Source organism: Homo sapiens, chromosome 2 (assembly GCF_000001405.40).
Source record: "Homo sapiens chromosome 2, GRCh38.p14 Primary Assembly".
NCBI classification, from domain to species: Eukaryota; Metazoa; Chordata; class Mammalia; order Primates; family Hominidae; genus Homo; species Homo sapiens.
The window spans coordinates 158,726,274-158,743,482 of NC_000002.12; the positions used below are offsets into that span (position 1 = coordinate 158,726,274).

General features: G+C 47.4%; 1 long non-coding RNA gene across 1 annotated transcript in view; it reads right to left on the bottom strand.

Annotated features, from left to right (window-relative positions):
* The window catches only part of PKP4-AS1 (PKP4 antisense RNA 1), a 76,666-nt gene extending 67,937 nt beyond the window's left edge, over positions 1–8,729 (bottom strand). The window contains exon 1 of the long non-coding RNA NR_135242.1: positions 8,455–8,729. This is a non-coding gene — a long non-coding RNA (PKP4 antisense RNA 1). The remainder of the gene's footprint in view (positions 1–8,454) is intronic.
* Between the last annotated feature and the right edge of the window lie 8,480 nt (positions 8,730–17,209).

A 17,209-nucleotide genomic window follows, 5' to 3' on the forward strand; every position in this document is an offset into this window, starting at 1 on the left:
AATTACCTGACCCTTATGTGTATGCAGCCAGATGGTCATTTAGTACAAGCCTAGTGGGTTCTAGCCAAAGGCAAACAAAAACTGGCCAGTCTCTGTCTAGACTCTGGTTTTCTGAGAACTGCCCAAAGAAGTGAATACTTGAGTCCACATGAGAACTCAACTGATCTTTACTAGTTGAATTCAGACTGCCCACTAGGTAGCTTCTCAGCCTCATTCTGCAGGGCCATATGCTGAGATAGGTGCCACCACCCAGGTAGGAGACTCAGGTTGAGCTGTGCCCTGGTCCAAGTACAGAGCAGGCAGGCACTGGGAAGGAACCCAGTGGCCTGGCTGGGAGGCAAAGTGAGAGGCACTGCAGGTTCTTAACCAGGCCCAGGAAAGGAAAGGGCTGTTGAGCAGGCTTTATGGATGAATGGAGGTAGCTCCCATGGTTCCCACCCCTCACTAAGAGCCTGGGGGCTCGGCAGGGGAGCCTAGGCCACCCCTTGGTCTTCCTCTGAGTCCTTTAGATGCTGTTTGGCCACCTCAGGCACAAGTGTGGCTGAGATGTTTCCCTGCAGGCTTGTTCCTGAGAACAGTCACCTGGGCAGTCAATCTGAAGGTGGCTGCTGGGAAACCTCAGGCTTAGGAGTTGGACCCAGGACTCACATGGTGTGAACCCAGCTCAGAGAAACAAAGCTCATCCTTGGAGCAGGGCCAGCAGAGGCAGCTGAACTTCACGGTCCAGACCAACAAAGCCGTCCCCAGTGGAGCTCTTGGGAGAGGAGCCTGGAAGGGACAAAGGCCAGACACTGGCCACTCTTTAAAACATAAGGAGTTTCATCGTCTCATACCCTGCTGGTGGGGCCAACGGACAATGAGGACTGAACATCTGTGAGGTGCCACGTCACTTCTCAAAGACAGATCACAGAGGCCTGTGCTGTTAATCTGGGCTCTGTCAGCTGCATCAGCTGACAAGCATGGCCACTCACCAGTTTCTAAGGCTGGGGAACATCTGTTGCCATTGTTTTGCCTTGTCTCTTCTTGACTTGCTGCAGAAAAGGCTTGTAATAGTTATTTGCAAAAACAGGTGGAGTGCTTTGAAGAAAAGCCCTATATAAACAGAAATAACACAAACAGGTTGCTCTGCTGCGAGGCTGACCTGACTCCACCCTGGCCCAGCTCTGTCATGTCAGCAAGGCTGCTGCCTTCCCCAGAAAAGGGCCATTAGAGGCCTTGGGGAGGAGAATACTGAACACAGCACTGGGGCGAGAAGACCTTAAATCAAGCCCTAACCCGACCCTTACTGACTGTGTGACCTTGACTAAGTCACTCAACTTTTCTTCCTCAGCCTGATTCTGTCATCTGGGAAATGTGGGTAAGCAGAACTCTTCTGGTGTTGTATGAAGATTAACTAGACAGTGCTTATGAAATGAACTGGCTCACATTAGTTAGAAAAGTCATAGAAAGTTCTAGCTTGAGGTATGGCTTTATTCAGGTTCTAAGAATGCCAGCAGGTTTTGCCCCTTGGTCCTTCTTCCCCTGGGTTGGCCCCCTGTTCCTGACTCCATCTGGAAGCTCTGGCAGCCTCAGCCTCACACCGTAACAACACTTAGCCCAGCAGACCAAAGCAGGTAGGTGCCTGTCACCCAGTGCTCTGGCAAAGTCCTGAGATTCACTCTGCCTGGACCAGGTTAAGTCATGTGACCCCCAAACCAGAACCAACCAATATGTCTGGGACACTGAATGCTCAGATTGACCTCATTCACTCACTCATCAAGTGTTTATTGAGCATCTACTATGTACCAGCTACTATTGTGCATTCTGGGGGCATAATATTGACAAGGCAGTAAGCTCTGTTGGGGCTTACTTACCAGTAGGAGACAGAAAACAAACAAATACATCAAACAGAATGATACAAAATTAGGAAATAACAGATATTAAAAAAATTAACCACCTACAGCAGATTCAGAGGGTAGAGATTGATGTGGGGTATGGGGTAGAGTGCTGTTTAAATAAGATGGCTCTCTTAGGAGGTGACATTTGAGACCTGAATGCAATGAGAATAGAAGCTGCGAGAAGATCCGGGCACAGAATATTCTAGGCAGAGAGGGCCAGTGCAGAGGCTCTGAAGCAGAATAAGCCAGGCTGGTGAAGGAAGAGCCAAAGTGGCCAGTATGGACAGAGGAAAGTAGACTGACAGAGAACAAGGGGAGGAGAGGTGGGGAAGTGGCAGACGCCATGGGAGGCTGGGCCCTGCCGGCATGGGGAGGAGACAGAGCTTCATTCTGACCATGGTGGAGTCTGCAGGCTTTTCGGAAGGGAAGAGGCATGACATGAGTTATGCTTGGAAAAGCCCCCTTGCTGCTATGTGGAGAGGGGTGGGGGCCACAGGGGCCAGACAGTAGTGGCTGGAACGGGGGTGGTGACAGAGCTGGCGAGAAGTGGCTGGACTCAGGACATGTTGTAGGTCATGAGTTCCATCCCTGGAAGCAGAACCTCGTGACCTTCCCAAATGGAAATCGGGAGCTATTGCCAGAAGTAATGGGGGTAGATGCTGGTGGACAAAAAGCAAGAGTTTTCCATGACTTTCACCATTTGTAGTTTCATCAATGTTTCCGTGTGGTGCTATCGTTTCACCATCATTAGTGTTCCCTTGGATGGAAACTGTATCTCCAATTTCTTTTTCTTCCTCCAAGGCCTAGAATCATTTCGAGGGATTTTAGAGACGATGTGGTCCAAGTCCAACCTCCTTGCAGAGCAGAATCCTAAAGCTTAGGAAAATTTTGGAATTGTACAAAGTCCCCCAGCTAATTAGAGCTGGAACTGGCATGCGGCACTCCTGGTTCCTAGTGCTGGCTCCATTCATGGAACAAAGGCTTAATTTGGGATGCTGCCAAGAACTGGTGGAGGTGATGGGAGAGGGTCTTACCCTTCTGCATTCTCCATCAGCATCTCCCCAAAAGCCAGTGTGCTCAATAAGCAGAGACCCCACCCTCTCTGACCACCACACTGCCCCCAAATCCCTCAATACGTAAGTCCTGGAGCTGCCCCCGTGTACAGTCAACAGCCTTTCTTCAGCAATGCTAATGAGAGTCAAGCATCCAGGCCGTAAAAGGCAGGCTCACATATGGGAAACACCGGGGTAGTGCCTTATTTTTGTTATTTTTTATTTTTTAGAGGAAACTTTATTTGAAGTACAGTCTTTTTATTCCTGCCGGGAGAGCTGCCAGTGGACAGCTCATTGCTCCTCAGCCACAGGGGCAAGTGTCTGCCTTTGAGGCAGTTCTGCAGTCCATAAAGCAAGATGGATGGGCAGCTTTGCAGGAGCAGAAAGGGCCAGCGTGGAGCAGCCTGGGAGGGGACTGCCTAAACTCTCCTGCAGATGCTCAGTGTGTCCTGGCCGGTCTCCTGTGGTAGAGGGGCCTGGGGACAGCTTTTGCCCTTGGGCCCAGCACAGTGTCTGACACTCCGGAGGAATCAATATGCTGGGTGAGGAAAGGGCCAGAGTGGTTGGATCCCCATGACATGCACACTTGCTGGGCCATAGCACATGTCCTCTGGGCCATCTTCTGGGTGACAGGGGCGCCTGGTATCATGAGAGGGACATGGCTTGAGCAATCTGGAGTTCTTATTAAGAGCATTACAGTGGAATGCACTCTCCCTCTATCTGTGTGTATGTGGTTTTAATTTTCTACTAAGAAAAGTAATCCCGATTCTCTTTAATCAGTAACCACCGTGGTCAGAAGAAGCTGTCACAGGCCAATGGGAGTGGTTAGTGGGTTTAATCATGAAAATGGCTGGCTGTCCTCTCTGAGGAGGAGACGTAATGACGCCTTGGATGGCTTTCTTTCCTTGCTCATCCTGGTTTCAGTAGAGGGCCAGCTGGCTGTGCAGGGCTGCCATCTCTCAGGATCTGTGCACTGCTGAGGGGACAGCCAGGGAGGTGTAAATACCAATAAGCTCCATGCAAGCGCAGAGGATCTCGACAGAAGCTCTTCTGAGATGGTGAAGGCAAGAAGAGCAGCATGTCTGGCATCAGGCAGAGAAGTAGAGAGAGGGAGCCCCGACCGCAGGACACACGTGCTGTGCCTCTCTGGACTGAACAGACATTCTTTCTCTCGGGCCAGCTGAGGCGTGACAGCAAACAGACAGAGGCAGTGATGGCCCTGCAGCCCGTGGAGCATAGGGGAGAGGAGCCGGGGAGAGGAGCCAGAGAGAAGCTGCTGGCTGTTGATGTGGGGGGATGGCTAGTGAGGGATGCCGGGGTCCTGACTGATGACTGCCTAGTGCTGGCTTTGGCGAAGACGTGAAGGGGCTGCCCACATGAATGCCCACTACTGACACTCTTGCTACTAACCTTCAACAGGGGTTTGGGGTTGCCCCTGGGGGGCCAAGTAGGCTGTGGACTTCAAGGGAACACTTTCTGTGGCCGCTGGCCATGGGGAAATTCCCCTTGCCAACAAGGAGGAACATGCGTGGGCAAGTGGCTGAGAGCGCTCAGGAGGCTTTAGCTAATGTGTCCTCCTCAGGAGGCCAGCTGGGAGGGGCCAGTCCTGCATGGAGGTTTCCTCCATCCTCTGCTATTCCAAGCTCAGCCAGCTGCCCAGTGCCCCTGCCCAGCCAGTGACAACCTGGCTCCTGGGCCTCCCCCTGGCCTCTCACTCCTCACCCCAGCACTGTGTGGAGCCTCTATAGCCAGGTGGAAAACAAGTCCAGGTGAAAGGCTGGCTCACATCTTGTCTTTCCTTCCCTCTGTCCCCCGCAACGAGCAAGGGCTCTGTTTGAAGAAAGATGCCTCCCACTCCTCGGCCTACGTGTCCTCCAAGAGGCTGCCCACCTTCCTTCTCACATGCAACCTGCACACACCTGCGGGCGACAGATGGATTTTTCTAACCATGCTCTACTCAGAGTTTTCTCTCCTCAGAATTTCAGCATCCAGAATGTGTGTGTGTATGTGTTTTTGTGTTGACGAATTTCTGCCCACCTAAAAAGCAAATCATCTCTAATATCTTTGCTTACATCACTGTGAGACCCGCAGGTGAGGCCTCACCTTAAAAGGCATTAAATTCACTGCAAGGCTTTGTTTAGAGAGCAAATCTGCATTGTCTAGGGGTAACAGCACCCCAGAGCCACAGCACAAAGGGCTCTCTCTTGAAGGGGAGAAGTTGCTATCATTCTCGGTCCACGCGTGGAACACATGAGCACCACAGAAATGCCAGTTGTCTTTCTCTGGTAACCACTCACATCAGAGATACAGCCTTGGCCCTCCCTTGTCAGATCAGTTTAATTACAGGCACGGATGCCCACTGGGGGGTAGGGAGCAAACTGGGATCCTTGGATTTCAATGAAGTCCAAACTGCTTTGAAATCCAGATACAGCCAACCTTCAATTATCCACACTGAGGAAAGGGAGCATGGATAATCCTGAACAGCAGATGATTAAAAAATCATTTCTTTTGGCTTTTGGGGAGGTACCATATGCTATTTGCAACAGAGCAGCAAAATTTCCTCTCTAGTTGTGTTTTGCTCAGATTAATATTGCAATGAGCTTGCATTTCTCCTCATGCACCAGCTGCCAGCAGAGGGGTTCGGACAGAGGTGGTGAGGAGGGAGAGGGATGGCCTGGGGTACTGACGAGAAGCCAAAGGCTCGAAAGAGAGAAGGAGAAGAAAAGAAATGAATTAAAAACTCCACATGGAGGGACCGGCTATTAGAGGGTAAATCCTCCTGGGGCATTGCCTTACTCTTATCTAACTTTCAAGCATATACTTTCTGCCTGTGTGCATGAACCATCTCTTTAGATGCCTGGTCGACTCTCTATGGTGTGTGACTAGTGCTCGCCTGCCTCCTTGCCTGGGCTTATGCTGTACCACCTGCCTGAAATGCTCCTTTCCTCTCCTGTCCCAACCAAATTTCATCTATCTTTCAAGATCCAGCACGTTTCTAGTCTTCTCCACAAAGCCTTTTCCAATCACACCCATATGAGGATCTTCTTCCTCTCTTCCATGCCCCTTCTGAATGCCCCTAGCACAGTATTCTCTGTGGCAACCTATCTGGAGCATAGGCTCCATGAGGTGGGGACAGGTGCTGCGCCAGGCCTCTCGGTGTTCCCTCTGGCAGCTGCACAGTGTTTGGGACATGCCCGATAGTTGTCCCCTACTGGAAGACTGATGGACTAAATATTGCAAGAAGGCACGAAGACACTAAACCAGTGGTTCTCAAGCTTGAGTGGCCTAAGACTTCCCTGGGGGACTTGGTAAAAGGGTTTCCTGGGATCAGCCCCCAGAGATGCTGCTTCAGCAGGTTGGGTGGAGCTCAGAGTTGGGCATTTTCAACAAGTCAGTTCTTAGGTGACTGACCGCTGTGGAGTCAGTTGTAAAGGCACATATCACCAACACTCACACACCAAGGAACTTTCATCCTTGTGTTCCAGTTACAAAGGTGAAGCCAAAAGGTTAAAAACAGACACAGCAAAACACACTGGGGTTATTAGTGTTGTCTCTCATAATTCCTAATGCTGATTTCAGCATTTTCTTAAAAAGGAAAAAAAAAAGTGGAAGCTAAAAGTACAGAGGTTTGCAACAGATTCTCCATATTTCTTTGATCCAAAACTGCACCTTCTCCACTTTTTAGCATCTCTGATATCAGAGTACAGCTTGCAATCGGTGGTATGCTACAACTAGCTTGGTCCTAGCTCCACTCCCCGCCATCACACTTCAGTGAATTATGTGCTGTGCTGGCACTACACATGTTGAGTTTCACTGCCATTTAAGAGCTTTCAAAAAGATTATGTGACAATTTGGCATTGAAATGAAAAATTACTGCATATACAGAAGAGCATGAAAACAGAGCAGCAAGACATAAATTTGATATTAGTGAAACCATTTGTTGGAGGAATAATCACACTTCCATATTTTCTTGCAAAGAAGCAACAACCAATAGGATCAATTGCTTTATAGCTTTGCTGCTCAAACTGTAGTGCTGGGGCCGGCAGCATTGGCCTCAGCTGGGAGCTTGTGAGAACTGCCGGATCTCAGGCTCTAGCCCAGACCTGTTGTATATCTACTGTTTAGCAAGATCCCCAGGTGATTTGTATGAACAGGGAAGTTTGAGAAGCATAGCTTTATAGGGCTTATGAAGGGAAGATATCCACAAGTAGATAAAGCTGAGTTAGGTTTGTTACCACGATATACACAAAAGGATCATCTATCACACACTAGGCAAAAAAGCTTGTAAAAACAGATGTCAGCGGCTGAAAAAATACGGGAGACCATAAGAGAGTGTATCGCCAGTTCACATGAAAGCCCAGAGGATGTTAATTGTGTGGTTTGGAAAAAATGTGTGGCATTGATGACTGCAAAGTGGTTCAGAAGAGTGAGAATGTGAAGTTTTGTGGAACACCTTAAGCAATTCATTTCACTTGTGTTTTCCTTTTTAGATACGTCGAGTGCTACACGTAACAAGAGATGTTTAAATAAATATGAAAGAGCTCTTTCAATATGGAAAACATTGTATCAGGAAAGAAAGCATTGTGTCATAGTTTAATTTGCAACTATTTTTTTCCTTAACTATATAGAAAATGAACATATCTTATAATAAAAGGCATCTCAGATTTAATGAAATATATATGGAAGTTGCCCATACTTTGCTATAATTGCCTTTTGCCTTTTCTCTTAGAGTTGAAATTTCAGTAACCATTGTCTTCACTCTGGTGATTACTAACATCAAGATATTTTACTTAAAAAACAAAATTTTGAGTTTGTTGCTTTTGCTTTTTTTTTTTCCTTTCCTTGAGACAGAGTCTCGCTTTATCACCCAGGCTGGAGTGCAGTGGAGTGATCTCGGCTCACTGTAACCTCCGCCTGCTGGATTCAAGCAATTCTTCTGCCTCAGCCTCCTGAGTAGCTGGAATTACAGGCACATGCCACCACGCCCAGCTAATTTTTGTATTTTTAATAGAGATGGGGTGGGGTGGGGCGGGGCGGGGCGGGGGGAGGGTCACCATGTTGGCCAGGCTGGTCTCGAACTCCTGACCTCAAGTGATCCGCCAGCCTTGGCCTCCCAAAGTGCTGGGATTACAGGCGTGAGCCACCACGCCCGGCCATTGCTTTTGCTTTTAAACTTTATGTTTTTAAGGGCTATGTACTCAATGCCATTAATCTACTAAGAAAAGAACAGTTTGTCTGCTCTAGCCGCCGTACTTTAGAATTTAGAAAATTAAATAAGAAAGGAAAAAATGTCACGCAAGAGGTGGAAATGATACAGCAAGACTGCCGTCCAGACAGACTTTAACAGTGATATATCCTCTTTTGCTATTTCAAACAATGGCAATCACATTTTAAAAAACCGAATAGCTGCTTTCACAATGAGCTCAACCTGAGCTCATTTAATCCTGAGAAACCTGTGTAACAGGTAGTACTATCTTCTTTTTCACAAATAAAGAGAGCGAGGTCAGTGAAATGAAATAACTCACCCAAGAAGAGAAGTGTTGTCAGTGGTGGGCCCAGAATTCAAAGGAGGCATCCCCCAGCCCCCTAAGCCAGCGTCTCTGCAGTGGCAGCTCCTCCATACACACTGGAGCCTGAAGCCTGGATTGGCCCTCTGGCGACAGATTATTTGAAAATCATTCCTCAGTTTTAGTGAACAATCCATACATTGTCTTCGTGGACTTGAAGGTCTTCAGTGGGCTGCCTCCTGAGGCTGCCTTTTGCTGGGTAATACCTTAGGATGTGAGAGCCGCTTGCCTTTAAATATGGAACCAGCTGCTACGTGCTCTTGACCACGGCAAAGCTGGCAGGACCTCAGATTTCCTTATGCGCAAAATGTCCCCATTTTTTGCAGAGTTTCTTGGAGCGTCCTTCTAAGGTTGAGCTCAGCTCACTTCACTAGGTTGTCATTTAAGAGCATATTGTGGGATGGACCTCATGCCTGACCCTGGGGTGCCATCTCACTGCCAACCTTTGACCCCGCTTTATGGCCTCACTGAGAACCTTCTCCCCCAAGATTCTCACTCCTTTAAATAACTCAGAATGCTAGTCTAAAAAGTTATCCCTCTTCCTTCTCATTAACTGCATTAGTGGTTTTCCATCTTTGCCAACATTGGAATCACCTGGGGAGCATTACAAAAATCTCCAGGCTCGGACCACACCTCCTGTCAATTAAATCAGAAGCTGTGGACGTGGGATCCAGGAACAGTATTTTTGAAACTGTGCAGGTGATTTCAATATGCAACCAAGTTTGTGAGACAGTACATCAGGTTAGTTGTCCACGAGCTTTACTTTTATAAACCTTTCCAATTAAGTTTTTCACTTTAAGTTAAAAGCCCTTCAGTATTAGACCAGGTGGGGTGGCTCATGCCTGTAGTCCCAGCACTTTGGGAGGCTGAGTGGGCAGACCACCTGAGGTCAGGAGTTCAAGACCAGTGACCAGCCTGACCAACATGGCAACCCCATCTCTACCAAAAATACAAAAATTAACCCTGCATGGTGGTGCCTGCCTCTAATCCCAGCTACTCTGGAGGCTGAGGCAGGAGAATCACTTGAACCCAGGAGGTAGAGGTTGCAGTGAGCCGAGATGGTGCCACTGCACCCCAGCCTGGGCAAAAGAGCGAGACTATGCCTGAAAAAAAAAAAAAAAAGAAAAGCTCTTCCGTATTCTTCCCTCACCTGCATAACCACTTTTCAAAAACACCTTTTGTTTTTATTACAAAAAGAACACACATTTATTGTGCAACCTTTAGTTTTGCAAATACAGCTAAGCAAAGAGAAGGAATTACAAATCACCAGTGATCTTACTATGAGGCAATAATTCCTGCTAATGTGTTCATATGGATTTCTCTAGCATCTTTTCCTTGTTTCTATCATGTGCATGTGTATTTTATTGTACATATGGTTTTGTAGCCTCCTTTTCTCATCTGAACGCCTTTTCGATTGAACTTCTCAACCTCCTGTCTTTTCCTCCTCTGACCTGACCTCTGTAACTTTAATAAGTCAGTTTTTCTTGGGCCTTTCAACTTGACCTTCTGTGAATTCTGAAGCCTCCTTTTAACCTAATGGCCAATTCAGTTCACAAGTGCTAAACCTGTTCCTTCTGGAGTCACTGTCTTTCCAAATGGCTCTACCATCTGGCTGCCCAACTGCTCAAGTCAAATGTGTCTGAGGTCATCCTAGATTCCTTGGACACATTACACTGCATTTCTAACCAACTATCAAAGCATGTCTATTGTGCCTCTTAAATATTTTTTGAATCCTTATTCATCTCTCCATCCACATTTGCAACTTCCATCCAGGGCCCCATTACATTTTGCCTCCATTGTCACAGCCTCCTAACTAGCCTCTTTATCCCCAGCCTTGCTTCCCTCTAGACCACTCCCCCACAACATCTGGGTGATATCACAAAGTTATTACCTTTGAGATAAAGTCTACACTCCTTCCTAAGGTTTTCAAAGCCGATATGAGCCAGCATCTGCTTAAATAATGCCCACTCTATCCTTCTCCCATGACTCCACCACACACCTGGTCCATGATGCTTCAGAAACATTGACTGCTTCCCTCTTTGTTCTACCTTAAACACGCTTCTCGTTTCTTCTGGTGAATGCCTGCTCATTTTGCAGGTCTCAGATGGATCCCCGCTTTCCTGGAGAAGTCTTTCCTGACTCCCCAGAGCTGGATCAGATGCCTCTCTTTGTGCTCCCCTAATACGCTGTATCTGCCCTATTGCAGCACACATCACATTGAATTGCACTGGCCTCTTTTCTTGGCTGTGTCTTCTCCAAACTGGAACACCAGGGCCACATCTGTTTTGCTCGACATAATGTCTCCAGCATCTAGCAACACTAACGAAAACATCTGTTGAATGAATGGTGAATGATTGAAGCCCTTCATACCACAACATGCAGTCTTGCGGCACAGACAGGGGTCTTTTCTGTATTGTGCTCTCAGTTGCAACACAGAACATCAACAGGTACTGGGCAGTGTCTTCTCTATAGAGCAAAGGGGCCCAGTGATAAGGGGATGACTTCCTCCTGCCCTATAGACCAGTCTCCCAAACTTTCTCGACTGCATAGCCTTTCCTAGTTCTTTTTTTCCCTCTTCCTGGCTTCCTCCAGCTTTGCAACCTTCAAGTCAAATTAGCCAAGTTGAATTTTATATGAGCTTAGTTTTATTTTTCACAGTGGAAGCTCCTCATCTCTTCATCAATAATAGACATCACTGTAACCCAAAGCTCTGTGGCTTTTCCAATAGAATCATGTTAATAAATATCTGGTGTTAGTTTGCTGTTGATAGCAACATTTCCAACTCTTTAGTGTTGGCCAAAAAAAAAAAAAAAAAAGAAAAAGAAAAAAAAGAAAAAGAAAGGAGTTGGCAAAAGCAGAGAAGAGCAGGCATGGTTTCTAGCCTTTCTCTCAAAATGTGAACCCTTAGTGCCCCTGAACTAGCTGGATGCCATTCTGGGGATAGAGCAGGTTTTACAGAAGCTTGTGTATTTATAATTTAGGGGTTTTCTTTAAGAAAAAGAGTATAAAACTATAGATATATGGCTTGCAGTTCTTGAAAGTTGCTTGTGCAAGTGCAGTGGGGGCCCTTGAAAACCATCCTTCATTCAATTAATTTGCTTTCCATCTCTATCATAATTTTTATAACTGGAGAAACTGAATCCTAGAGTAATGGAGCTGAGCATGAGTCAGCTTGAGAAGCTCTGGTTGCCCAGCCCTCCCTGCTGCAGGACCTGCAGTTCGTCGTGAAGCTACATGGACTCGAAACACTCACAAAATCCCCAGCTCCCGGTTTCATTCACAGGCCATGCCAGAAGGGTAAAAACAGAAAGGTAAAAAATAAATATTTTTCAATGAACTCAGCCTCTGTGTGGGCAATAAGCTGCTTGGTTTGGTAGGAAGAACGCTGGGCTGGGAGTTGACAGGGGCAGTTGTTGTTCATTCTATTAAGCACTTAGGAAAATAGACGTGCTGATGCTGATTTTGAAACAGATTAATATTGAGCCAGATAACAAGTTTCTACTCCACATTAATAGGAAAAAAATGGTGGATTCTGAGCTCAGTGGAGCTAAGAATTTAAAGAGGTAACCAGTTTTGTAAGAACAGGGAAGAAAAAGCCACTGCACCGCTTAATCACTGTGACCGCCACAGCCCTTTGGGAGCAGAAGGTCACTTCTCAGAACTCCTCCCAATCACTGTGACCACCACAGCCCTTCGGGAGCAGAAGGCCACTTCTCAGAACTCCTCCCAATCACTGTGACCACTGCAGCCATGCAGGGGCAGAAGGCCACTTCTCAGAACCCCTCCCAATCACTGTGATCACCACAGCTCTGTGGGAGTAGAAGGTCACTTCTCAGAACCCCTCCCAATCACTGTGACCACTGCAGCCCTGCGGGAGCAGAAGGCCACTTCTCAGAACCCCACTTCTCAGAACCCCCTCCCAGCCTCGAAGTCAAATCTGATGCCATCCCAAGGTCTTATACCTGGATTGCCTCTTCATGCCTTACCTTTTTGAAGGCATCTTTGAGACATCTTGATCAGTCTGTGCCTGTTTGTGACTTCAGTTTTGCCTCTAGACTCTCTTTCACGGATCAGCCTTGCCCAACCCGGGCCCCTGAGTCCATTCTGCAAGATCCCACTTGTTCAGGATAGAGGTTGAGACCTTCATTTAAGGAAAGTCCTACCGATGATAAGACTCCAGTTTCTAACCTTGTCATCAAGGTTGTCATCCTGCAAGCAGGAATGATAATGTGTGGGGGTGGGGGATTGTCACATGATTTAAAACTCCGGTCCCAGCTACGTGCCTTGGAGGCCATTCTTGCTCCCGTTTCCTAACTTACAAAATTAGGGGCTTCATTGACTAATGAGTGGTATATACACACCATGGAATACTACTTAGCCATTAAAAGGAATGAAGTAATGTCTTTTGCAGCAACTTGGAGGAAGCTGGAGGCCATTAGTCTTTTTTTTTTTTGAGATGGAGTCTCGCTCTGTCGCCCAGGCTGGAGTGCAGTGGTGCAATCTCAGCTCACTGCAAGCTCCACCTCCTGGGTTCACGCCATTCTCCTGCCTCAGCCTCCCGAGTTGCCAGGACTACAGGTGCCCGCCACCATGCCTGGCTAATTTTTTGTATTTTTAGTAGAGACGGGTTTTCACCATGTTAGCCAGGATGGTCTCGATCTCCTAACCTCGTTATCCGCCTGCCTCGGCCTCCCAAAGTGCTGGGATTACAGGCATCAGCCACCGCGCCCGGCCTGGAGGCCTTTATTCTAAGTGAAGTAACACCAGCGTGGAAAACTAAAAACCATATGTTCTCACTGAGAAGTGGGAGCTAAGCTCTGAGTATACAAAGGCATGAGTCATAGAGTGGACTTTAGAGACTCAGAAGGGGAAGAATGAAAGGGGGGCCAGGGATAAAAAATGACACCTTAGGTACAATGTATACATACATTACTTGGGTGATGGGTGCACTAAAATCTCAGAATTCACCGCTATGTAATTCATCCATGTCACAAAAACCCACGTGCATCCCAAAAGCTATCACAATAAAAATTAAAAAAATAAATAAAATAAATAAAAGTAGGGGCTGGACCTAACCATCTTGAATGCCTTTTGCAGCTCCACACTTTGCAGATGCTAAGTAAGAAGCAGCTGGGCCAGGTGCAGTGGCTCATGTCTGTAATCCCAGAACTTTGTGAGGATGAGGCAGGAGGATTTCTTGAGGCCAGGAGTTCAAGACCAGCCTGGGCAGCATAGCAAGACCCCGTCTCTACAGAAAAAAAAAATAGCCAGGCATGGTGGCTCAGCCCTGCAGTCCCAGCTACTTGGGGGGGCTGAGGCAGGAGGATTGCTTGAGCCCAGGAGGTCTAAGGCTTCAGCAAGCAGTGATCATGCCACTGCACTCCAGCCTGGGTGACAGAGCAAGACCTTTTCTCAAAAAAAAAAAAAAAAAAAAGATTTAAAAGGCAGCCTGAACCCCTGACCCAGGGATGATGCAGGCTAGACGCAGGAAATAGGAACTGCTCTGGAAACCAGGACTGGAAGGGCCTGAGACGGAAATGGATGGACTCGGCTGGCTGAGCAAGGAATCTGGAATTTGAGGAAAGGCTCCCAGGAAGAGCCGCAGCCTCGGCTGGACAAAGCTGCAATCCATGTCACCCTTTGGCTTTAGCTAATCTGCATGGGGACCTGCCCTGACAGAGACAAACAAGCCTGAGGCACTTTCTGAGGAGGGGTGAGAGAAAAATGGAAGGCAGCATCTCTGAGCCTCTGTCCCAGATGGAGGCTGTGATGGGGAGGCCCCAGTCTCAATTCAACACATACAGTGAGTGTCTACTGTAAGCAGCTGAGCATCTTCTGTCTTCACACATACCCCTCAAACACATACTATACAGGCATATCTGCAAACACACTCATGTGACACATACACACCTCCCACAAACAACACAAAAATACATGCAAACACACACACATGGTATCTGGTATGACCTCTTCCTTGGAGCCAGGTTCTGGAACTGTGCCACAGCCTTATGAGGAGTTTTAGATCTGCAGTGACTAAATCCCCTTGGATAAAGTCCAACGAGGTCTTCTTGTTCCAAATTCTCCAGCAAATGCTGTTGCAGTGAGGTTCCTGCTGATGGACAGAATCACAAAGCCAGATGCTAGCTGAAGTGGTCATCTAGCACTTAAGGGAACGGGCAGGACACCCCTGCAAGTCTTCCCCGGGGATTATGGTTGCCTCGTGTTAATTCATTCTTGGAGGAACACATGGCCCAATCTCGATCCCAGAAGAGTCAATAAAATCTTCTTAGTGTGGAAATAGTGCAGAGTTACCGTGGTTTAGAACCAGGCTCACAATATGATGCCCTCATTATCATTATCATTAAAGCATGACTTTTTGCCAGAATCTATCATTTTTGATTCAACACGAGTCCTCTTGCACATTCTCTCCCTCATGCACATAAGAATTGCTTTATAGTGGGAGATGGGGAGGCTTCTGGGATTGTGTTTGCAGGGTGGAAGCTCTCCTGGGGGCAGAGCAGGCACTTAAGAGAATGAAAAACACAGTAGTCCAATGGTATTGGTCCGAAAGTCTCTGGAAGGCACCCAAGCCCGAAGGTGTCTATGGACAGCAGACCACGTCTCCTACTCAACTAACCTTTCATCCTGTGGTTGAGGGGAGCCCGATACTTGGGTTGGCTAAAGCTTGAGGGCTCACCTACTTCAGATCTTTAGGTACAATTCGTCCTGTTCAGAGCTGCCCAGTGGCCCTGTTGCTAGTTAGGAAATGGGTTGGTAACCCTTGATCTTTTCTTTGGGGAAAAGTCAAATCCATATGGTTCTTCAATAATCAGAAAAGGACAGCAAACACAGAGGACATTGGGGATGAGAGGAAAGCTTTGCAACTTTAAACGTCTAACAACTCGGCCATGAAGCCTAAGCATTGAAAGCAGCAGGTTTTGCAGGTTGTTAGTTCTCAAAGTGAACAGCTCCTTCTGTTACAGTAGGTAGCTAGTCAGGCATGAGCCGAGCAGGAGAGGGCTCCCCGACACACATACCAGGAGTGTCAGGCGACCATCAGGTGATGGTCAGGCGGTTGTTAACTCTCTAAAATAGTAATTGGTCACAGCCAGTGCCAGGGAAAGGCAGGCTCCCAATAAATAGAAAACACTTGAAACTGGTGAGCAGCAGCTTCCTGATAAGAGCTCAGGAGTTGGGCGAGTGGGCTCCAGCATGCGCATTAAGAGGCAAAATGGCAGAGTTTAACTGGTATATACCTTCCTCTAGGAATGCTAGCCTAGTAAGGGAGGATGCCTCAGGTAAGCATGCGTACAACTCCAGTTAACACACTACATGTTCCCTTCCCAAGCCCTGGCAGGCCACTGAGCATGCAGACAGCCCACCCCAAGGAAAGAATCGGGAGAAGTAACACACAAGACCCCAGAAGTATGCCAACATATAAAACCCCAAGTCAAAAGATCAAACAGGGCATGTAGCCACTCAAGCCATTCCGCCTGGCCCTCTTCCAAGTGTGCCTTACTTCCTTTCATTCCTGCTCTAAAGCTTTTATTTTTTTTTTGAGATGGAGTCTCGCTCTGTCGCCCAGGCTGGAGTGCAGTGGTGCAATCTCGGCTCACTGCAACCTCCGCCTCCCAGGTTCAAGTGATTCTCCTGCCTCAGCCTCCAGAGTAGCTAGGGTTACAGGTGCCCACCACCACACAGGGCTAACTAAAGCTTTTTAATAAACTTTCACTCCTGCTCTAAAACTCCCTCGGTCTCTCCTTCTGTCTTACGCTCCTCAGTCAAATTCTTTCTTCTGAGGAGGAGGCAAGAACTGAGGTTGCTGCAACCTGGTACAGATACAGATATGTTCCACTGCTAGCATTTCCACCAGGGCCAAGACAAAAGTTCTCGAAGGCAGTGTTGTTTCAGCCGTGCTCCTGTTTTGTGCAGCAGCAGGAGTGCAGCTGATGCTAATCCAACAGACTCCAAGGGCTTTCCTGTGTGGGCAACTTCCGCCTCCCCCAAGGCATCTCCTCCAGAGCAATTGCTAAGGGGAGCAGGGAAAGATGATGCTTTTCAGCTGTGACCTTTCTGCTAGGAAATCTCTCAGTTGATCAGTGCCTGATATGTTTAAAGTGATATTTGCAAGAAGGATGACCTTCATTAAATAAGGTCAAGGGCACCATTAGGGGAGGGAGCTGAGAGATGCCAGAAGAGTGACAAAGAGACAAAGACAGAATCACAGCCCTCCCCGGGGTTGTTGACTGAATTCTGAAAGACTGAAAAGTCTCTAAGGCAGCAACCACAGCTTTCCAACATTGAAGGGAGTCGAGTCACCTGCTGGTTTACCAGCAAACTCCCTGGATATGCAATAAATAAAAGCAAAGGGTAAAGGTGAGATCTGGCTGCCCAGGAGCTCAGTTGGCTGAACGCTTAAAAGAGCTAAGGTATTTAATTTAATTCACCTGGTGAAAGGCAGGGATTTCAGCAGTTCTGTCTAGAAGTTTCTCATCCACTCTTAAAAAAAAAAAAAAAGCCAAAAGCCCAAAAGAGTTCCCTAAGGGCCCTGGGAAAAAGCAAGAAATAAATAGGACCATCAACTCTAGCTGCCAATGAATTTTTAAAGTCTGGTTTGCAATTACCTATAAAAACCAGACTATCAGAGCATTCTCAGGTAATATTCGAGGTAAAAGAGTATTCTTGGGGCCTCAGAGGTCTGATTTCTTCAGTT